This window comes from Homo sapiens, chromosome 14, assembly GCF_000001405.40.
Source record: "Homo sapiens chromosome 14, GRCh38.p14 Primary Assembly".
Taxonomy (NCBI): domain Eukaryota; kingdom Metazoa; phylum Chordata; class Mammalia; order Primates; family Hominidae; genus Homo; species Homo sapiens.
In genome coordinates this window covers 21,477,026-21,500,036 of record NC_000014.9, presented here as the reverse complement: position 1 = coordinate 21,500,036, position 23,011 = coordinate 21,477,026, and the positions used below count along the sequence as shown (strand labels likewise).

General features: G+C 43.3%; 2 protein-coding genes across 5 annotated transcripts in view, besides 3 other annotated features; one reads left to right on the top strand and one right to left on the bottom strand.

The window, feature by feature from the left end:
- The window catches only part of METTL3 (methyltransferase 3, N6-adenosine-methyltransferase complex catalytic subunit), a 13,203-nt gene extending 11,304 nt beyond the window's left edge, over positions 1–1,899 (top strand). For 2 of the 3 annotated variants that reach the window (NM_019852.5, XM_006720206.5), the window contains 5 exons: positions 235–273; positions 437–545; positions 666–731; positions 900–1,012; positions 1,668–1,899. In NM_019852.5, the coding sequence (NP_062826.2) occupies positions 235–273; positions 437–545; positions 666–731; positions 900–1,012; positions 1,668–1,779 (439 nt within the window). In that variant the 3' untranslated portion in view covers positions 1,780–1,899. The remainder of the gene's footprint in view (positions 1–234; positions 274–436; positions 546–665; positions 732–899; positions 1,013–1,667) is intronic. The other variant, XM_011536968.3, reaches the window with a different exon arrangement.
- Positions 867–22,842, bottom strand: TOX4 (TOX high mobility group box family member 4). Of its 2 annotated transcripts, NM_014828.4 has the most exons (9): positions 22,753–22,842; positions 22,473–22,541; positions 12,344–12,586; positions 11,187–11,447; positions 10,634–10,864; positions 7,661–7,741; positions 6,780–7,529; positions 4,645–4,808; positions 867–3,491 (listed from the first exon to the last, which is right to left on the bottom strand). In NM_014828.4, the coding sequence occupies exons 1-9, from the start codon at positions 22,756–22,758 to the stop codon at positions 3,431–3,433; spliced, it is 1,866 nt and encodes a 621-aa protein (NP_055643.1). In that variant the 5' UTR covers positions 22,759–22,842; the 3' UTR covers positions 867–3,430. The 2 variants fall into 2 exon arrangements, with proteins under 2 accessions (NP_055643.1, NP_001290452.1); NM_001303523.2 differs by lacking the exon at positions 22,473–22,541.
- Positions 1,196–1,245: an enhancer, noted in NCBI's record as "active region_8110". NCBI's record gives its function as "activates an Ori minimal core promoter by ATAC-STARR-seq in GM12878 lymphoblastoid cells {active_cell/tissue: GM12878}" and the evidence as "EXISTENCE:reporter gene assay evidence [ECO:0000049][PMID:35858748]".
- Positions 1,276–1,365: an enhancer, noted in NCBI's record as "active region_8109". NCBI's record gives its function as "activates an Ori minimal core promoter by ATAC-STARR-seq in GM12878 lymphoblastoid cells {active_cell/tissue: GM12878}" and the evidence as "EXISTENCE:reporter gene assay evidence [ECO:0000049][PMID:35858748]".
- Positions 22,892–22,961: an enhancer, noted in NCBI's record as "active region_8108". NCBI's record gives its function as "activates an Ori minimal core promoter by ATAC-STARR-seq in GM12878 lymphoblastoid cells {active_cell/tissue: GM12878}" and the evidence as "EXISTENCE:reporter gene assay evidence [ECO:0000049][PMID:35858748]".

Here is a 23,011-nt window from a genome sequence, read left to right as displayed (position 1 = left end):
AAATTTTACCCCGAATATATATTTAACTCTACATTTGTTCTTTGAGAAAGGTAAGGTTGTTGAGCATAGTTTTATCTTTTCGTTCTTAGATCCACCATGCTTTTGGTGGTGTGCATGTAAATGTTCACTGAGCGTCTACTGAAAAAGTGTTTATAGTGTTTTTAACACATCACATATTTTGAAGGGAAAAAAAATATGGGCATACAAATAGTTGTTTAACTCATTTCTTTCTAGGGCCATGGAGTTGGGGAGAGAATGTCTAAACCTCTGGGGGTAAGTAGTGGTTGTGTTGCTTTCTTTTGAGGGTAATACTGTTACAGTGAGATACATGTTCTCTTCTCCCAGACTATTCTGTGATTCCTTGCTTCTATAAATGGTACTACCCCTAAACTGTAAAAGTTTGGCTAAAATTCTAGTTCTTTTTTATGCCCCACAGGTATGAACGGGTAGATGAAATTATTTGGGTGAAGACAAATCAACTGCAACGCATCATTCGGACAGGCCGTACAGGTCACTGGTTGAACCATGGGAAGGAACACTGCTTGGTGAGCAGCAGTGGGGCCCAATTCAATAGGTGGAGCACAAAGAAGAATCATTTGATTTCTTACTGAGAAAAAGTTCAAAGGTGTGGTTTCATAAGGTAATCTGTTATCTGTGGTGAGCAGGTTGGTGTCAAAGGAAATCCCCAAGGCTTCAACCAGGGTCTGGATTGTGATGTGATCGTAGCTGAGGTATGTGCTTCCCAGGCCTCCAAAGCTTCCACATTTTTGTTGGTATCAGTTATTCATGTTGGGTGTATTCTCATCCCAGATTTTTCTCATTTAGATCATAAACATAATAGAAAGGGCTAGAATTGCAATCTTGTGTAACTTAAAAAGCAGCTAGTTTTTATTTCCTAGGTTCGTTCCACCAGTCATAAACCAGATGAAATCTATGGCATGATTGAAAGACTATCTCCTGGCACTCGCAAGATTGAGTTATTTGGACGACCACACAATGTGCAACCCAACTGGTAAGGTGACCAGAGAACAGGCTAGTCCTCAAGGGGCTATTATTTATGATTAAGGACAGAACTTAGTAGAGCTTCACATTGTTTTACACTAGTCCATAAATGAGCTTCACAGGATTCATAAGCCACTTAAGCTTGTATTTAAACTGTTTTATGAGATTCTACAAATATTCATTAGAAACTCAACAGGTTCTAGGACCCAAAAGCACTGCTCCCTAGGGTTTCTACTCTCTTCACAACCCAAGGATCTTCCTCAGCCATTCTGTGATGTATTGAATCTGCCCCCTGGTGGTTACGAAGTTATCTATTTAATCTGTCAATAATTACATCTTTCACCCCTTAACAGAGCTTAAAACACATGCTGCTAGCATTTTGCTTATCCAAAGAATACTCCCTGGTAGCAACTCTGTGAAGCAGGCCTGGCTAAGCATTAGTTACTAACCCTCAGATAATACAGATCCAGTCTATTTTAACACCAGAATCTATGCCAATTCTGAACTAGTAATTCTACCATATACTATTCTAATGTTAAGCTCTTTTTAGAATTGGCATATTTGATATGATGATAGGCAGTCTTCATTTGGTATGCATTTTTTAACAATATTAAACCCTCTAATTCCAGGATTTCTGGTTTGCCCCTCCTTTTACACTGTTTCAGGATCACCCTTGGAAACCAACTGGATGGGATCCACCTACTAGACCCAGATGTGGTTGCACGGTTCAAGCAAAGGTACCCAGATGGTATCATCTCTAAACCTAAGAATTTATAGAAGCACTTCCTTACAGAGCTAAGAATCCATAGCCATGGCTCTGTAAGCTAAACCTGAAGAGTGATATTTGTACAATAGCTTTCTTCTTTATTTAAATAAACATTTGTATTGTAGTTGGGATTCTGAAGTCCATTCTGGCTCTGCTACTTAACAGTGTATAATCTTGTGCAACTCATCTCTCAGTATTATATGTGAAATGGGAGTATTACCTCATTGGGTTGCTGTGAAGGTTCAAACTAAATGAGTGCATGGGAAACATTAAAATGATCATTATAGGCTAGGCACAGTGGCTCACACCTGTAATCCGAGCACTTTGGGAAGCCGAGGTAGGAGGGTAACTGTAGCCCAGGAGTTCAAGACTAGACTGGGCAACATAGTGAGACCCCATCTCTACTGCTACCCTCCAAAACCATTAAAAAAACAGGAATGCAGGCTGGGTGCGGTGGCTCATGCCTGTAATCCCAGCACTTTGGGAGGTCAAGGCGGGCGGATCATGAGGTCAGGAGTTCGAGACCAGCCTGGCCAACATGGTGAAACCCTGTCTCTACTAAAAATACCACAAATTAGCTGGGCGTAGTGGCGGGCGCCTGTAATCCTAGCTACTCGGGAGGCTGATGCAGGAGAATCGCTTGAACCCGGGAGGCAGAGGTTTCAGTGAGCTGAGGTCGCACCACTGCACTCCAGCCTGGGTGACAGAGCGAGACTCTGTCTCAAAAAAAAAAAAAAAAAAAAAAAACAAAAAACACACAGAAAACAGGAATGCATAGGATAAAACTATGTACGTAGCTGGTTGAGGAGGAGGTTCTCTAGGACAGCATTCCTGTCTACAAACAGTAAAAATTTGAGTTTTATTTAAAGTTATCACCACTTGGACTATCATGCTGTAAACTTCTGCTTATTCTGTTACAACCAGGTGGCTTCTCTAGTCTGTTTTTCTTTAGATTATGTCTAAGAAATAATGATAGACCTATGGTCTTTTAAAGATAGTTCATCAAACACAAGTGAATACAACTTTAGACTTTGGTGGAACCTCTTACTAATGATGTAGAGTTCCGCCTCTTAGATTCATGAACTGTGATAACTCAGATAAGGATGGTAACTGCAGAAATAATATATATAAAGAGAAATCACTCCTGGGTGATGTCATTTTCCATGTAGCCCAGTATGCCCATGTTGAAAAGTTTTGTTTTCAAAGCAGTGTACTGATGTGATAATGGGGAATAACATTTTTTTATGAGGGAACCCTTTAAAATGGATGCACACAGTGGCATTTTCTCCTAGGCTCAAAGCTGAGTACACTCCCGTAATTTTAATAATATTTTAGGCAAGTCCTATGACAATTATACCAACAAGTTTCTTCAACCCCACCACCACCCCACCATCTCTATGCTTTGCTTGCCCAGACTCCCTTCACCCTTTCCTCTGCTATTACCGCTTATGGTTGAAAGTAAAAAGCATCTCCAGATTACAGCAAATTCAGTGGCCCTGCTCCATAGCCTGGCCTCTGCTGAAGGAAGAAAAGGGGTGAAACATGAACAGCCATCATGGGTTGTGATGAGGCACTACCAGAAGCCCAGCTTGTGTTTCAAAAACAGGCTCTTGGACACTTTCCCAGCAGATAACTCTTCACTGGCTTGGAGAACAGGAAGGACTATTTCACAAACACCACTGTGTTTGAATTTCTAGAGGCTACCCAGGCCAAGAATACATCCCTAAGAGAGAAAAAGACATACACAAACAGAATTATACACAAACTGAAATAGAATTACAGCCTAGATACATTTTTTTTTTTGAGACGGACCTCATGGGTTCACGCCATTCTCCTGCCTTAGCCTCCCGAGTAGCTGGGACTACAGGTGCCCACCACCATGCCCGGCCAATTTTTTGTATTTTTAGTGGGGACAGGGTTTCACTGTGTTAGCCAGGATGGTCTTGATCTCCTGACCCCGTGAATCGCCCGCTTTGGCCTCCCAAAGTGCTGGGATTACAAGCGTGAGCCACCGCGCCCGGCCGCTACATTCTTTTTATCTTTTTTTTTTTTTTTTTGAGATGGAGTCTCGCTGTTGCCCAGGCTGGAGTGCAGTGGCGTGATCTTCTTGGCTCACTGCAACCTCCACCTCCCAGGTTCAAGAGATTCTCCTGCTTCAGCCTCCTGAGTAGCCAGGACTACAGGTGCCTGCCACCATGCCCGGCTAATTTTTGTATTTTTAGTAGAGATGGGGTTTCACTGTATGGCCCAGCTGGATTTTTTATCTGTCTTAAACAAATAGGTTCCCAGATAATTTCCTACAGCATTATGGTGAGATAGTATCACCTTGAAAATATAAGAACAGTGGGCTTAAAAGTCAGAAGTAGAGGCAATGCTAATTTACTGCAGAGTTTTTGAAATAGGAAATAGAAATGCCTTGTCCTACAGCTATAGGAAATTCCCAGGAAAATTTGGGGAGAGGGGTAAAATATTCCAACCATCTCCCCATTTCCTTCACAAATTGCAAATTATTATGTGTTACTTTCCACTTACCATTTCTCCCCAAATTCTAGTTCCCTAAGTAGTCTGATTTGCACCAAGAATTGAAAAGCTAATATTTGCAAACACTAACAGCTTAATGTATTATATTTTTAAAGAGCATACATAAGAGAGGTATGTGGTAACTGAAAAATGTGAACTGCTGATTACATCATCTTTGGCTTATGTGGCAAATGTAAGCTCTTAAGCAGGGGAGCTTTTCTAGTAGACCAGATACAGCAACCTACTCTACCTAAGGTAAGGTGACACTGAGATGCTGATTTTATGCTCAAGATTCCTATGTTTCCCAGTAGAATTGACCAGTAGCTGAATTATAAAAGGGAGAACTGTAAGCTCACCTGCAGTGCTTCACCACACACTCATTGCTGCAGTATTCATTGTCCCAGTCCTTACTCACAATGGGAGGGTTCTCACAACCAGACCTCACACATCGAGGCTGGGGTGAGAGTGCCACAGGAGACCCACTCACCAATTCAACATCCATCTGAGAAGGAGACTCAACCTGTGAGAAGAAGAAGAGTACCAAGGTGGATTAGATTGCTCCCTGCCTAGCTAGCTAGTTAGCTAAATTATCTGTAGAAACCAATGAAGCAACAGGTATTAGAATTCCTCACACTGGGGGGCAAAACTGCAGAAGAAGGTGAGTTCTTGGTCTCCCCTCTATAGTCCAGCTTCAGAACTTTGCCAAGCAGAATGGTGGAAGATTCTTCCCATCAGGAGAAAGGTGGCCATGTGCTAATGCTTTTTTTTCCCTGTTAAGCCTGGCTAGTCAAGCAGTGGGAATAGAGAGGTAGTGTTTTTTGTTTTTTTTTGAGACGGAGTCTTGCTCTGTTGCCCAGGCTGGAGTGCTGTGGCACAATCTCAGCTCACTGCAACCTCTGCCTCCCGGGTTCAAGCGATTCTCCTGCCTCAGCCTCCCAAGTAGCTGGGATTACAGGCGCCCATCACCGTGCCCAGCTAATTTTTTTTTTTTTTTTTTTTGAGACGGAGTCTCTCTCTGTCTCCCAGGCTAGAGTGCAGTGGTGCGATTTCAGCTCACTGCAAGCTCTGCCTCCTGGGTTCCCGCCATTCTCCTGCCTCAGCCTCCAGAGTAGCTGGGACTACAGGCGCCTGCCACCATGCCCGGCTAATTTTTTTTGTATTTTTTAGTAGAGACGGGTTTTCACCGTGTTAGCCAGGATGGTCTCGATCTCCTGACCTCGTGATCCGCCCACCTCGGCCTCCCAAAGTGCTGGGATTACAGGCGTGAGCCACCGCTTCCAGCCCCAGCTAATTTTTTGTATTGTTAGTAGAAACAGGGTTTCACCATGTTGGCCAGGCTGGTCCTGAACTCCTGACCTCAGGTGATCCACCTGCCTTGGCCTCCCAAAGTGCTGGGATTACAGGCGTGAGCCACCACACCTGGCCATATTTATGTCTGTTTTAAAAAATAACGGTATGAACCAATTAAATTTTTCTGCCTATACCCCCTGCCCCACACACATTTAAAACATCAAGCTAAGGAACTTAAGACCTAGGAGAAATGAAAAGCTTTGCATGTCCAAAGTTTAGGATCCTTGGGTAACAACTCTGAATAATAACTGTTTAGGCTATATCCTGTCCAGTTGAACTAGTGACCTCTGCTTAGTTAAGGAGTGGTCTGGGGCAGAAGACTGTCTTAATGTATCTCACTAAAAACACTATGGGGCACACGGTGGCTCACGCCTGTAATCCCTGCACTCTGGGAGGCCGAAGCGGGCGAATCACGAGGTCAGGAGTTCAAGACCAGCCCAATGAACATGGTGAAACTCTGTCTCTAATAAAAATACAAAAAATTAGCTGGGTGTAGTGGTGGGCGCCTGTAATCCCAGCTACTCGGGAGGCTGAGGCAGGAGAATCACTTGAACTAGGAGGTGGAGATTGCAGTGAGCCAAGATTACACCACTGCACTCCAGCCCAGGCAACAGAGCGAGACTCCGTCTCAAGAAAAACAAAACAAAACAAAACAAAACAGGGCGGGTGCAGTGGCTCACACCTGTAATCCCAGCACTTTGGGAGGCCGAGGCAGGCAGATCACCTGAGATCAGGAGTTCGAGACCAGCCTGACCAACATGGAGAAACCGTCTCTACTAAAAATACAAAATTAGCCGGACATGGTGGCACATGCCTGTAATCCCAGCCACTCGGGAGGCTGAGGCAGGAGAATCTCTTGAACCCAGGAGGTAGAGGTTGCAGTGAGCCGAGATCGCACCATTGCACTCCAGCCTGGGCAATGAGTGAAACTCCATCTCAAAAACAAACAAACAAAAAAAAAACAGTATGAGTACCTTGGGTAAGAGAAGTCAACTGCTGCAAGGAACTCCCATCTGCAGGATGTTTTGTGCTCCTGGTTGCTGGGCATTAAATGCTAGTAGCAACCCCCACTGTTATTGGGTCAACCAAAAACATTTTTATACATTTCCACTAGACTAAAGACTTAAAAACAAAGGCTCACCTCAGGAACTACATCTGTGATCATCTCACAGATAGTCTCAGGAGAAGGTGCCTCCACTGTATGGGCCTCAGGGCTGTTGTTCATAGGCCGCTCAGGACTACTTTCCACAGTTGGTGGGACTAAGGTAGTCTGCATTTTCAAAGTGGGTAGAGGCACACTCTTGATCTGCAGAGGAGGAGGCTGTTGCTGTAAATTGATTCGAACTTTCTGAGGTGGAGGCTGTTGCATGGCCTGGAGTGGAGGAGGCTGCTGCAGAATGGTAACTTGCTGCTGAGTCGGGGGCTGTGGCATCTGTTGTAATGGAGGGGGCTGTAGTCGGGGTGGAGGCAGTTGCATAGAAGCAGCAGCAGCAGCAGCTGCTGCTGCCTGCAACACTGACCGAGTGACAATCTGGGCTTGTTGACTGGGCTGGATAGTAGCTGTACTGGTTTGGCCTAGTTGGAGCCCCCGGGAGGTCACCACTGTGGCTGGGATAACAGTAACCATCCCTCCTTGAGACATAGTAATAGAAGAGGGCAACATTTGTTTGGTAATAATCAACTTGGTGATATTGGGCTGACCCCCAGCTCCAGAAGATGCCTGGTTTGCCACATAGGATGAAAGGGTGGAGTTAACAACAATGGATGGGGACAGGGCAGGGGGCTCTATTGAAGCTGGTGCTGGAGATGCTGGGTCAACAGTAGCCATAGGAGGTGGAGAAGGAGTTTGTGATGGTGGTGCTGGATCCAATTCCACTGTTTCCACAGTGGCCTAAAAGAAGACATAAATCAATCTATCAATTAATCAATCACTTGGTGGTATTTACTTCTTAAAACTGCTAACAAACACTTCCAAAAAACTTCTTACTGGTTTAAATATTCATTCTATCCTATCCCTCTTACCTGACACTCCTGGTTGTCTTTGTAAGCAGCCAGTGCCTTCAGATACTCTTTCTTGGCAGCCTCAGTTTTCCTCTTATATACCTGCAAAAAAGAGACTTTAAAAAAAAAAACAAAACTCCCCATACTCTTAGGAAAGACTGATAGTTCTGTATTATTTATCAATGAATGACAATTCATCTTAGTCTAATCACTGACAACCTCTATCAGTGAATTCAATTCTGAAAGCTAACAGTCAAGACAACCTCCATGGCAGACTCACTCCACTGAGCATACCTCTGAAAGACAACCAATCGACAGGAGTCTGGCAAGAATAGCTACATTTATTTTATTTTGCTACATTTATTTTATTTTTTTTAAATTTTTTTTGAGACAGAGTCGTGCTCTCTCGCCCAGGCTCGAGTGCAGTGGCGTGATCTTGGCTCATTGCAAGCTCTGCCTCCCAGGTTCATGCCATTCTCCTGCTTCAGCCTCCTGAGTAGCTGGGACTATAGGCACCCGCCACCACGCCCGGCTAATTTTTTGTATTTTTAGTAGAGATGGGGTTTCGCTGTGTTAGCCAGGATGGTCTCGATCTCCTGACCTTGTGATCCGCCTGCCTCTGCCTCCCAAAGTGCTGGGATTACAGGCGTGAGCCACCACGCCTGGCCGAGAATAGCTACATTTAAGGCAAACATCAACCCATGCTCACTTCTGTAACAAAAATAAACCCTAATCTGCCAGGTGCGGTGGCTCACGCCTGTAATCCCAGCACTTTGGGAGGCCAAGGTGGCCAGATCACGAGGTCAGGAGATTGAGACCATCCTGGCTAACCTGGTGAAACCCGATCTCTACTAAAAAAAACAAAAACAAAACTAGCCCGGCGTGGTGATGGGCGCCTATAGTCCAGCTACTCAGGAGGCTGAGGCAGGAGAATGGCGTGAACCTGGGAGATAGAGCTTGCAGTCAACCAAGATTGTGCTACTGCACTCCAGCCTGGGCGACACAGTGAGACTCTGTCTCAAAAAAATAAATAAATAAATACAAAATAAACCCTAATCCAAAAACTGTGTCTTAGCCTGGGACTGTGTCTAACCAGTATATTTTCCCTTATGGAATGTGGTAAATTGTTTGCAAAGATGGCCACAACAACTCCTCCCATATGACCTTTCTCCCTTCAAGAGCTGAAGCCTATTTCCCCCTCCTTTGAATCTGGGCTAGCTCTAAAAAGTTTTTAAACTCTAAATCCAAAAAAGAAAAAGAAAGAAAAAAAATAGGCCAGGTGCGGTGGCTCACACCTGTAATCCCAGCACGTTGGGAGGACAAGGCAGGCGGATCACCTGAGGTCAGGAGTTTGGCACCAGCCTGACCAACACGGTGAAACCCTGTCTCTACTAAAAATACAACATTAGCTGGGTGTGGCGGCACATGCCGGTAATCCCAGCTACTTGGGAGGCTGAGGCAGGAGAATCACTTGAACCCAGGAGGTGGAAGTTGCAGTAAGCTGAGATTGCACCACTGCACTGCAGCCTGGGTAACAGGAGCGAAATTCCATCTCAAAAACAAACAAACAAGTAATTCTAAATCCAAACTTGGTAGTGGATTTGAGAGTTAGCCACAGCATGCAGCTTATCAAGTAATAGCCTAATTTTATAAATGGGGGAAAAAATGAGACTTAGAAAAGTTAAATATCTAAAAATTGAACAGAAGGACACTACATGAGGAATTATAGGAGACATTATTAGTGGAAAGTACATGGGAAGAGTTAAAGAACCTGGATTGTGTCTCAACTTTACCACTTAAATGTTATATGACCTTAACTGGGCAGTGGGCTCCAGTTTCCACCTTAAAAGCGGGAAATGGTAGCTATTTTTGAGAGTTATTGTAAAGATGCAGTACTTCTGTAACAATTATTATTATTTTTTGAGATGGAGTTTCACTCTTGTTGCCCAGGCTGGAGTGCAATGGCATGATCTCGGCTCACCGCAACCTCTGCCTCCCGGGTTCAAGCAATTCTCCTGCCTCAGCCGCCTGAGTAGCTGGGATTTGAGGCATGCCACCACACCCGGCTAATTTTTTTGTATTTTTAGTAGAGTCGGGGTTTCAATGTCAGCCAGGATGGTGTTGATCTCCTGACTTCGTAATCCGCCTGCCTCGGCTTCCCAAAGTGCTGGGATTAACAGGCGTGAGCCACCGCGCCCGGCCTATAACAATTATTATTTATTTATTTGAGCCGGGGTCTTGCTCTGTCACCCAGGCTGGAGTGCAGTGACACAAACATGGCTCACTGCAGCCTTTATATCCTGAACTCAAGCAATCCTCCCGCCTCAGCCTCCACAGCTGGGACCAAAGGCACATGCCACCACACCCAGCTAATTTTCTGTGAGACGGGGGTCTCCCTATGTTGCCCAGGATGGTCTCGAACTCATGGGCTCAAGCAATCCTCCTGCCCTGGCCTCCCAAAGTGCTGGGATTAAAAGCATGAGCCACCACACTCAGCCTATTAATAATTTTTAAATAGGCCGGGCGCAGTGGCTCATGCCTGTAATCCCAGCACTTTGGGAGGCCGAGGCGGGTGGATCACGAGGTCAGGAGATCGAGACCATCCTGGCTGACATGGTGAAACGCCGTCTCTACTAAAAATACAAAAACAAAATTAGCCCAGTGTGGTGGAAGCGCCTGCAGTCCCAGCTACTCGGGAGGCTGAAGCAGGAGAATGGCGTGAACCCAGGAGGCGGAGCTTGCAGTGAGCTGAGATCACGGCACTGCACTCCAGCCTGGGTGACAGAGCGAGACTCTGTCTCAAAAAAAAAAAATTTAAATAGGTTTTCTGGAGTGAGTGTATGGCTGCAACTTCGAAGACAAGGGATGATATTTAAGTGTCATTAACAAACAGCTGATATTAGATAAGGACATGTAAGAAAAAAGAAAACCTCAATTTTTATCTCTTTAAAAACTTCTGGAACATTCACTACTAGTTCCTCAATATTTGCTCACCTGTTTTTGCTCCTCTCCAAGACTATCCCACATGGAGGCCACAATTTTTGAAACCTCACCAAAAGTGGCATTAGGATTCTGTCCCTTGATGGCAGCCTGTGTATCACGAAAGAATAAAGCATATGCTGAAACTGGTTTCTGAGGTTCATTAGGATCTTTCTTTTTTCTCTTCTTTGGGGCCTTCTGCTTTTTCCCTGCTTCCACCACGACTGTCTTCTGGCTGGGAAGTTGCTGTAGGAGAGAAAAAAGAGAGAATTACACAATGGACAATGACAAGTATTATGTCTGGAAACTAGCCACATGTATGGAATTTTCAGAAATGCTAAAAATCATAGAAATAGCATTAAAAGACATTAGTCAAATATGGAGAACCAATAAGAATAGGGATTGAGAGGAGAATTATAAACTGGAAATTGGGAGGTGGAACCCCATACCCAGAAAACAGCAGAGGAGATGGCACGGCAAGGGTAAAGAATACTGATTAGGCTCTGTATCCCAAAAATTTTATCCCAGACTATCACAGCAGAATTGATTTTGACAGGGAATGCCTCACCCTCCGGAAATCCTCAACACCATCCTCGTGAAGTGAACTAGTAGGTGAAGGGGTGGTTGAAAGACGATCTTCAGGTGACTGGGCAGGTGGCAGGATGGTGCCACCCCCTAGGCTCAAACCCAGCTGGGAACTCAGTTCTGACTGATCAATGGTGGTCAACTGGCTATGCCCCATCAAGCCAGATGTCATGTCTGTCATTGGTACATCAATTGTAACAGGTGGGTTGGCACTATACTGAGTTCCTATAGAGTGGTCCAAGTCCTGAGAGAAGCAGAAGGACTAATTAAACACTAAATATAAAAAAAACCACTTTTCCCCCCTAAATTTAAGACAGCTTATAAATTCCCTGCCTACCCAAATTGTATCATTTAAAATACAAAACATAAAATAGTCTTCAAAAATGAAAATAAAAAAATAAGCTTTTTAAAAAAGTACAGAAATTAATGAATTTACTTCTTTGCACTCAAAAGAAGAACTAAAAATAATCAGAGAAGTCGCACTGTTGGACAAGTCAAAGAGCTATCAACTTATTCAGTAATATATAGGTAGTGACAACACATTGAGTAAAGAAAAACTTCCTATCTGTACTCTCCCAAAATAATAGCTTTTAAAATTGTAATACATAGGCAATCAGCATAAATAAGGCCAATATTAAAGTCTGGCATCAAATATAGAGTATGAAGATGTGCTTACTGGTTCGATGTGCTGGAAGCCCAATATACTGATTTATATTACATACTAATCCACAATACTATATTTGGCTCAGACTTTTTTTTTTTTTTTAAGCTCTGTTCTGCTGGCTGCTCAACGTGATTCAGGCCATTTTTGAATAAATCCCTCCGTGTGCCAGCTATCACATTCAAATTTGAATCCTAGGATGTGAAGGCCATAATAAAAGCAGAAAACACTTTTTCCCAAAAACCACAATAAATAATTTTCAAACCAGACATTGTACAATTTTAAATTATTTTTCAAGTAAAATCTACCTACATGGTAAATTTCATTTATTCAGGTGAAATTAAGTCTTTGTTGGTGAGCCTTTAGCCACAAGAAGAGAAACAAGTAATACCCAAGTGTAGCAGGGAATAGAGTAACTTTGTCTCCCCTAATGCCATGCCCATTAGCTGGGGTAAGCCTGACAATGTCTTGCCCCTTACCATGGTCAAGCCCCCACTCAGGAGCCCCCCGCCCTGCTCCATCAAGCCATGGGTCATGCCCACAGGCATGTCCAATGTCTGGACCCCATACTGGGCTGAAAAACTGCCATCCTGTGAAGAGGAAGGGTCTGCCAGGTCATCAAAGTGGCCAACCACATCTGAGACAGCCAATGAGGGATCAGAATCCAAGGAGATAGGTGGGATTTCAAATTCCTCATCACCCAAGCTTGGTGTATGGAATGTCTGTAGGGGAAAAAAGGGGGAAAAGAATTAGTGAAAAGAGGAGAAATGGCATACTACTAAGTGAAGAACATAATGGGGTACTAGAGATTCTCAGGATGCATTTTTTCTGCTTAGGATCCTATTTTATAATCAATTTCTTAGAACCTATTATTTTTACCAATCTCTCTTCTGATACCCTTGGTCATTTGGTACATTCAAGGCTGCTAACATCAGTCACAATTTTCAATTCTTTTATCTCTTTTCTACCATTACCGTCTCTTTTGTCTTAAATTATGCCTATGGTTCTAATGAAAAATTCTTTCAGTACCATTACTTAGGACATAGCCTTTATAACCTGTTTACTATGATTCTTGAAATCTCTCTCTAAAGATTCTAATAGAGCAGTTATTTCACAATTATTACATCTAAACTGTTAGGTCACAGAAATTCGCTGTCAGCCAGCCAATTATACTTTGTTGTTTTAGGTTCCTTTCAAACAGATGCTAAAATGTACTGTCATGGGAACTTTACCCCCTCTAAAATATTTGCAGAGTTTCCTACTTCTTCTCCACTTTAGAAATTATAATGTTAACAACAAATAAAGATTCCCATTAGTATAGGATTTTCAGAAAACCTCAACAATGCCAAAAATGCTAGTCTTGCTCTGACCAAGCTTCTCTCTAAGAGAGGAAAAGGATTACTCCAGTTGGCTAAAGACCCAATCTCTTCCTCTGAGTCCAACTAGGTCAATAATAACACATTCTTTCTTTTCTGAATGAGGCCACCACTCATGCAGCTAACAGACAATGTCTGATTAAGATGTGAACTGCTATGGTTCTGTTTTGACACTAAAATCTAAATGGTGGCATTTACAGCAATAGACATTTATAAATAATAGCAAGAGACTGCTGTCAGAGAGACCTGGGTACAAGACCTTGAACAAGTTTTCTTCATCTGTAAAATGGGAATTATAATGGTAATCCCCTTATATGGTTATTATGAGGATAAGTGAGATTTCATGCATAAAATCTTAGCACATTGCCTGATACATATAATGGCTTAATCACCATCATTAACCATTGTTATGAATGATAATATCCTAATAATGATTACCCCCACCCCAACCAATTATAACAGATAATTGGAATTTTAGAAACTTTAAATTCTATCAATCTAACACATAGCATAGTAAATATAAACTGATTCAGATCAAATTCAATAGGTACCAACATTTTTTTTTTTCATAATTGAACAATGCATTCTTTAAATAGAGTTCCTAAAGGTTCCTTTTCTTTTTTTTTGAGATGGGGTCTTGCCCTGTCACCCAAGCTGATCTGGAACTCCTGGGCTCAAGCAAGCCTCCAGCCCCAGCCTCCCGAGTAGCTGGGACTACAGGTATGTGCCACCACACCCAGCTAATTTTTAAAATTTTTTGTGGAGACGAGCTCTCCCTGTGTTGCCCAGGCTAGTCTCGAACTCCTGGACTCAAGTAATCCTACTGCCTCGGCCTCCAAAGTGTTGGGCTTACAGACCTCAAGGTTCCTCTAGATCCTGAAATGTTCTTCTATTATGACCATTTCTGTCTTTTTTTTTTTTTCTTTTTTTTGAGACAGAGTCTCGCTCCGTGGCCCAGGCTGGAGTGCAGTGGCGCGATCTTGGCTCACTACAACCTCCACCTCCCGGGTTCAAGCAGTTCTCCTGCCTCAGCCTCCAGAGTAGCTAGGACTACAGGTGTGTGCCACCACGCCCAGCTAATTTTTGTGTTTTTTAATAGAGACGGGGTTTCACCATGTTGGCCTCGATCTCTTGACCTCGTGATCCACCCGCCTCAGCCTCCCAAAGTGCTGGGATTACAGGCATGGGCCACCGCACCTGGCAGTTTTTTTTTTTTTTGAGATAGAGTCTCCTTTGTCACCCATGATAAAATGCAGTGGCGTGATATTGCTCACTGCAACCTCCGCCTCCTGGGTTCAAGTGATTCTCCCACCTCAGGTTCCCAAGTAACTACAGGTGCACACCACCATGCCAGGCTAATTTTTATTATTATTTTATTTTTGAGACAGAGTTTCACTCTTGTTGCCCAGGCTGGAGTGCAATGGCGTGATCTCAGCTCACCGCAACCTCCGCCTCCCAGGTTCAAGTGATTCTCCTGCCTCAGCCTCCCTAGTAGCTGGGATTACAGACATGTGCCACCATGCCCGGCTAATTTTGTATTTTTAGTAGAGACGGGGTTTCTCCATGTTGGTCAGGCTGGTCTTGAACTCCCGACCTCAGGTGATCCGCCCTCCTTGGCCTCCCAAAGTGCTGAGATCACAGGCGTGAGCCACCACGCCTGGCCATGACGCCAGGCTAATTTTTGCATTTTTTGTAGAGATTGGGTCTGGCCATATTGCCCAGACTGGTCTTGAACCCCTGGGCTCAAGCCATCACCCTGCCTTGACCTCCCAAACTGTTGGGATTACAGGCATGAGCCACAGCGCCCAGCCTCTAATTCTGGTTTAATGAAGACATTAGGCTGGGAGCAGTGGCTCACGCCTGTAATCCCAGCACTTCGGGAGGCCCAGGTGGGCGGATCACACGAGGCCAGGAGTTCGAGACCAGCCTGGCCAACACAGTGAAACCCGTCTCTACCAAAAGAACAAAAAATTAGTCAGGCATGGTGGCACACACCTATAATCCTAGCTACTCGAGAGGCTGAGGCACGAGGATCACTTGAACTCAGGAGTCAGAGGTCACAGTGAGTCAAGACTGCACCACTGCAATCCTGCCTGGGCGACAGACCAAGACCATGTCTAAAAAAAAAGAAAAAGAAAGAAAATAAAGGCCGGGTGCCGTGGCTCATGCCTATAATCTCAGCACTTTGGGAGGCCGAGGTGGGTGGACCACCTGAGGTCAAGAGTTCGAGACCAGCCTGGCCAACATGGCGAAAATCCATCTCTACTAAAAATACAAAAATTAGCCAGGTGTGGTGGCAGGTGCCTGTAATGCCATCTACATCAGGAGGCTGAGGCAGGAGAATCACTTGAATCCAGGAGGCAGAGGCTGCAGTGAGCCGAGATTGTGCCACTGCACTCCAGCCCGGGTGACAGAGCAAGACTCTGTCTCAAAAAAAAAAAAAAAAAAAAAAAAAAAAAAAAAAAAAGACATTGCTAGAAAGAAAATTTCCAGCTAGCAGAAACTAGGGAGAAAAAAGTGTGCCTGTGAAATGCCCAATCTCTGAATCACATTTGTAAAAGTTTCCTAAAAGACAAAAAGATATATGTACAGTTTCCCTTCTCCTTACTATTTTACTTGGTATGGTAAAAAATCTGGTCGTTGTCTGAGATATAAGTAGCACACGGAGCATAAGAACACACAGTTCTCAGCTGGTAGTGGTGGCTCACACCTGTAATCCCAGTACTTTGGGAAGCCAAGGTGGGTGGATCACTTGAAAAGTCGGGAGTTCGGGACCAGCCTGGCCAACATGGAAAACCCCATCTCTACTAAAAATACAAAAATTAGCTGGGTGTGGTGGTGTGCGTCTGTAATCCCAGCTACCCAGGTGGCTGAGGCACGAGAATCGCTTGAACCCAGGAGTTGAAGGCTGCAGTGAGCCAAGATCACATCACTGCACTCCAGCCTGGATGACAGAGCAAGACTCTGTCTCACACGCGCACACACACACACACAAATAACAAAAAATACCACGCAGTTCTTGATGGGAAAAACTGAAACTTTCCCCAAGAACTGAACTTTTCTCAGTAGTACACAAATCATGTATTTATGTATGTTGTTTTGTTGTTGTTTTTTTTAATTCTGAGACAGGGTCTTACCCTGTCGCCCAGGCTGAGTGCATGGCTCCATCACCACTCACTGCAGCCTTGAACTCTTGGGCTCAAGTGATCTTCCCACCTTGGCCTCCCAAAGTTCTAGGATTACAAGTGTGAGCCACTGTGTCTGGCCCATAATTTTTGTTATTGTGTGGAAGTTCTTAACTTCCAGTCCATGACTCTTTCTGATATTTCAGTTTAGGTTTACGTGAGCATTTTTAAGGTAGAAGGTACAAAGATTTTTACCAAATTCTCACACCAAAAAAAAAAAAAAAGTTATAGGAACAGGAAGAAGGATCAAGGGAAACATTTACTGTACTAGACTAATAGTAAAATAGTAGTTTCCAAAATTTTCAAGATACAGATTGCTTTGGCAAAGCAAAGATGCCTATCCTTTTCTGCTTACCACAACAAAACAGCAACTTTGTCAGGATATAAAAATGATACTATTTGTTAATGAGAACCCCAAAAGGATAAAAATTCATATCCAAAACAAGGGACCAGTGTTCCACAAGTGACTACCCCTCATAAACCATCTGGAATGTTCTCCTTGTACACTAAAAAATTAGACATGGCTACATAAAATGAACTGGGAAATGATAAAAAAATTAGACATGTTGAGATTCCATTATGTAGGATCGACAAGGCATTCTTTCTATACACCACCCCTTGGGATGTGTAAAAGCTTTGTTATTCAGTACCTATGGCTTTCATGGTGGTTTTCTGGGTTCTGTTTTATTTCTTCCTTTAAGTATGAATAGTAAGATAACTACAATTATCAAGAATACAGAAGGTTAAAAAAAAAGGATAGGGTAAACCACATGCTATAGTAAAAGTAGAGATTCACTAAAATCTTTTTCACTACAAATGATCTGTAAAATTATGGGTAAAATCCAAAAATGAATACCTAAACTTACTTTATTTTAGCGGATTACATAACCAGATCACACTCTAGACTGTTAAATATAAAACAAAACTAAAACTGAAGCAAATATTAAAAAGAAGTGGTTTGGACACAGAAAGAGAAAACAGGAACATGATATGCAGTTACCTTCTAACTTAGCTTTCCTTTCCTCCTTTGTTCAATTCCTGGGCCTTTTTGAAGGAGGGGCTGGTTTGGGAATTACAGTTTATAAGCAAAGATGCTTAAATATCAAGAGAACCAAAAAATCAAAAATACCATTTCCCTCCCTTTTTTCATTCTCTGATCCCAAAACATACAATCTATTATTTCTTTAGCTTATTATATAGATCATTCACTTTAGAGAAATTTATTTTAATCCAACACCTATTTATTCAACAATACGCTGGTACTATGGGTCATTTAAATAACTGCTCTTAAAAACTGATGTAGTAGTGAAAATTTTACCTATTTAGCCAGAAATAATGAACTGGTTCTAATGTTAGTTACTTTTCCTACTGAAGGATGGGTACCTTTATGCCTAATTATTTCCCCAATGTGCTCTAAGCATAATACCACTATATTAGAGCCAACCTGAAAAAGAGAAACAGAAAGATTAAATTGCCTTCAGATCATAGAACTTTCCGCCTCAGGCAATGCTCTCTCTGGACTGCTACTCTTTTGAAATTATTACTATTTCTTATTTCATTGATATACAACTTATGTAAGGTACATAAATTTTAAGTGTATAGCTTAATGGATTTTTTACATATGCAAACATCCAAGTTATCACTATCCAGATCAAAGATGCAGAACATTTCCTTGTGCCCCTTTCCAGTGAATACTTCCTTCCCTTCACAACTGGTATCACTATTTTGATAGTTCAGTTTTGCCTATTCTTGACCCTCATTAAAAAATATGAACGAATATAGTGTCTTCTCTTTTATGTCTGTCTTTTTCTACTCAACAAAATATTGTTTAGATTATCCAATTGCATTTATAATTTAATTTTTTATATCTGTGTAGTATTCCTTTTCACAAATACACCATTTTTTTCTGTTGATAGACATGAGTTGTTTTCAGGGTTAAGCTAGTAAGAATAAAGTTGTTGTGAACATGTTTTTGGTGAACATATGCAATCATTTCTGTTGTGTACATATCATGGAGTGGAATTTACCTGGTCATAGGTTAGGGGGGCATGTTTATCTTTAGTAGGTACTGCTAGTTTTCCAGTGGCTCAATTAACTTACACTCTCACTAGCAATAATTAAGTTATCCACATCCACTGGGCAAGGTGGCTCACAGCTATAATCCCAGCACTTTGGGAGGTTGAGGCAGGTGGATCACTTGAGGTCAGGAGTTTGAGACCAACTTGGCCAACATGGTGAAAACCGGTCTCTACCAAAAATACAAAAATTAGCCAGGTGTGGTGGCACATGCCTGTAATCCCAGCTACTCAGAAGGTTGATGCACGAGAGTTGCTTGAACGTGAGAGGTGGAGGTTGCAGTGAGTCGAGACCGCACCACTGCACTCCAGCCTGGGTGACAGAGCAAGACTCTGTCTCAAAAAAAAAGTTATCCACATCCTTGCCAACTCTCACTGGCAATTTGGACGTCTTCTTTTGTGAAGTGACTGTTCAAATCTTTTGCCTCCTTTTATTTTATTTTTTTGAGACGGAGTTTCTCTCTTGTTGCCCAGGCTGGAGTGCAATGGTACAATCTCAGCTCACCACAACTTCCACCTCCCAGGTTCAAGCGATTCTCCTGCCTCTGCCTCCTGAGTAGCTGGGATTACAGGCATGCGCTGCCACACCCGGCTAATTTTGTATTTTTAGTAGAGAAGGGGTTTCTCCATGTTGCTCAGGCTGGTCTTGAACTCCCGACCTCAGGTGATCCACTCGCCTCAGCCTCCCAAAGTGCTGGGATTACAGGCATGAGCCACCACGCCTGGCCTTTGCTTCCTTTTAAACTGGATTCTTTCTTTTACTCTGCAGAAGTACTTGATATATTCTGAATATGAGTTAGATATATGTATTGTAAATATCTTCTCCCAGTCTGTGGAATGCCTATTTGTTAATCATGTTTTTTGATGAAAGGAAGTTCCTAATTACAGTGGAGTCCAATTATTCATTTTTTTTAATGGTTAGAACTTTTTATGGGCAACTACTTTTTTGGGGGAGGGTCGGCAAAGTCTAAAAATTTCCTCTCTTGTAAAAAAAAACTTTTTTTTAATATTACCTTTACCTACTTCTAAGATATATTTGGAATGGCTCACAGTAAAACCATAACCCCATTAAAATAAAAGTTATAAACAACCATTACCACCGCTACCAAGGGAAAGGGAAGGTGTAGAAGTTGTAATGAGAAAATGGAGAACTGTTAACAATGACAGGAGCCTTAGGCAAAGGAAGCTACTGAAATTGAGCCTAAAACTTAGCTATCAGTTTCTTGGCAAAATAAAATAAGATTTCTTAAGTCACAAAAACAAAAACAAAGGACAGATTCAAACCTGGAAAGTTTCTTTCTTTTTTATTATAATATTACTTGTTAATACTTTAAATTTACTTTTCTTCACTATACACCATGATTCTTCATGGGAAGTTTCTTGATGTGAAAAGGAACCACTTCTGTCCTGGCATGGTGGCTCACACCTACAATACTAGTACTTTGGGAGGCCAAGGTGGGAGGATCGCTTGAGCCTAGGAATTTGAGACCAGCCTGGACAACATGGTGAGATCCTGTCTCTATTAAAAACAAAAGCAAAAGCAAAAAGGAACCACTTTTTTAAATGTGGCTACCTCTTGATTGTTCAACTTCATAAATGGGGTAGAGAATTAAGAACAGTGGGTAAACTTGAAAGCTACTTGTATTTAATTTTAAAATGCACTTTCTCATGAACGAGGCCAACGTAAAATTTATAACACTCTAAATAACAAAATTTAAACTGTGGAGACCTGATTGAGGAGAAATTGGGAATTTCATGCAGGTAAGTCCAATGTGAGATTTGCAACACTCAAATAATGAAATTTAAAAATGAAGATCTCACTTAGAAGAAAATGGCAACTAAGAGTGCAAAGCACCAAGCAGATTTTAGCTGTTTTTGTTTGTTTGTTTGAGATGGAGTCTCACTCGTTCACCTAGGCTGGAGTACAATGGCGCAATCTCGGCTCACTGCAACCTCTGCCTCCCAGGTTCAAGCGATTCTCCTGCCTCAGCCTCCTGAGTATCTGGGATTACAGGCGCGCACCACCACACCCGGCTAATTTTTGTATTTTTAGTAGAGATGGGGTTTCACATGTTGGTCAGGCTGGTCTCGAACTCCTGACCTCGTGATCCGCCCTCCTTGGCCTCCCAAAGTGCTGGGATTACAGGCATGAGCCACCGCACCCCGCCTCACCTGTTTTTTTAAAATTAATTATTATTATCTTTTATAGAGACAGAGTTTGATCACGTTGCCCAAGCTGGTCTAGAACTCTTGGGCTCATGCAATTCTCCTGCCTCAGCCTCCCAAACAGTTGGGATTACTGGCACGAGCTACTGTGCTGGGCCCAGATTTAGGTTTTATATCATTTCAAAGTTTGCTGCATACTAGATTCACACTTATCCTGCTTATGAGAATAATAAATAAAAGCAACAAAAAAGTTAAACTGGCACTGGGCACATTGGCTCATGCCTGTAATCCTAGCACTTTAGGAGGCTGAGGCGGGCAGATCACTTGAGGCCAGGAGTTAAAGAGCCTGGGTAACAGGGTGAAACCCCGTCTCTACAAAAATTCAAAAAAAAAAAAAAAATTAGCTGGGTGTGGTGGCGCACACCTGTATTCCCAGCTACTTGGGAGGTTGAGGCAGGAGAATCACTTGAGCCCAGGAGGTGGAGGCTGCAGTGAGCCAAGATCGTGCTACTGCACTCCAGCCTGGGCTACAGGGAGACTGTCTCAAAAAAAAAAAGAAAGAAAAAAAAAGTTAAACTAGCAACTGGCCCTTGTCAACCCCATTTTCATCCATGAAAACGTTAGGATTATAGGATAAGCCCATGCAACAGCCACTGACAATTCTTGGTAAAAAAAACTGATGCAAATGGTCCACACCACTTTTGAAAATAAATATAAAAGTCCTCAAAAAATGGCAGATGGTTCAAGACTTCAGTTTCTCAAAGACAGAAATTTTTGTCTGTTCCACCATTCTCTTTTGCCTCTCCCAAACAAGTGATACATATCTATATTATGACAATATTTCAACCAAACTTTTTTAACGAACACTTCAGGGTTTCATCATAACCTTTACTTCTACTTTAAAACAGCATAAGAAACTATAATTACAGCTGTTTGACAGCTGGGGAAACTGTGACATACAAAGATGAAGTAATGTGCCCAACGTCTGAGTCACTGGCAAATTGAAACACATGTCCTACTCAACTCTTTTATATTCTCTAGCAGCTATTTCCTTTCCTCCTGACATTAGCAAAACAAGCTGACACCATGTAGGTAAAGGTAACCACAAATTTTTTATCAAAGTAGGAAATTTAGGCCGGGCGCAATGGCTCAGGCCTGTAATCCCAGCACTCCGGGAGGCCGAGGTGGGTGGATCACCTGAGGTCAGGAGTTCGAAACCAGCCTGGCCAATATGGTGAAACTGCCATCTCTACTAAATATACAAAAATTAGCCGAGCGTGGTGGCGCACGCCTGTAATCCCAGCTACTCGGGAGGCTGAGGCAGGAGAATCGCTTGAACCCAGGAGACAGAGGTTGCAGTGAGCCGAGATCGCACCACTGCACTTCAACCTGGGCGATAAAGCGAGACTCTGTCTCAAAACAAAAGAAAACCAATAAGCTCCTCCCCTCAACCCCAATTTCTTCAGCTGCTGAAACATTTTCTTTCCACTGCGATCCCCTAAGATTACTGTAGCTATTTCTCCCCAGAGAAAGGAGACAATTCCACTCTGTCTTCTAATCCAGAATCCCTTTTCTCTTTAAACAGGTTATCTCTTTCCAATACCTTGCTTTCTGATGACAGCAACTTCCCAAGACTTCCCCAGATAGTCCCCACAGGCTCTAGAAGCAACCGCCACTTTTCTCTAAACACCAATTGCGGCCCTTGGTTCCCAGCCCCCGTCCCCGGAGTCCGTGCTCTCCTCCCCACTACCCTACCCCACCGCTGCCTCAGGCCCTACCCCCGCGGCGTCGGCAGCTCTGGCTCACCTCGGCCCCTGACAGGAAGGGGTGCGAAGGCCCTGTGATCGTCAGGTAATTGTCATTTCCTCCGGGAAACTGGAAACCAAAAGAAAGTCGCGGGGATAAGTTAGGGGGAGCAGGGAGTCAGCTTGGAGCGATGGCTTTTGACCCTGACATTCTGACAACACTCCCCAAACCCCGCTCTCTCTCCTCTCCCGTCAGTCGCCTCTCCGCCCGGCTTCCCGTCCCTGCTTCAACCCGGTCGGCCGCGTTCTCTCGCCAGCCTTCTTAGCTATCAGGTTCCTACCTCCATCTTCACACAACCGCTCCCACCGTCTCAGACCCTCATCGCTCCCACCGCCCCCACTGGACTCGGAACTGCCGTCACTTCCGCAAGGACGTGTGTTCTCTCTGCTGATTGGAAGGAGCGCCGTGGGGCTGCAGAGAGTCAGGCGCTGGGCTATCGCCCCCTGGAGTTTGGAGGGATAAGGGCATGTAGAAGTGCTAGAAGCGTCCCTGGAGGTGGCGTAGGGTACTCCCGACCTAAGGATGATTCCGGGGAGTGC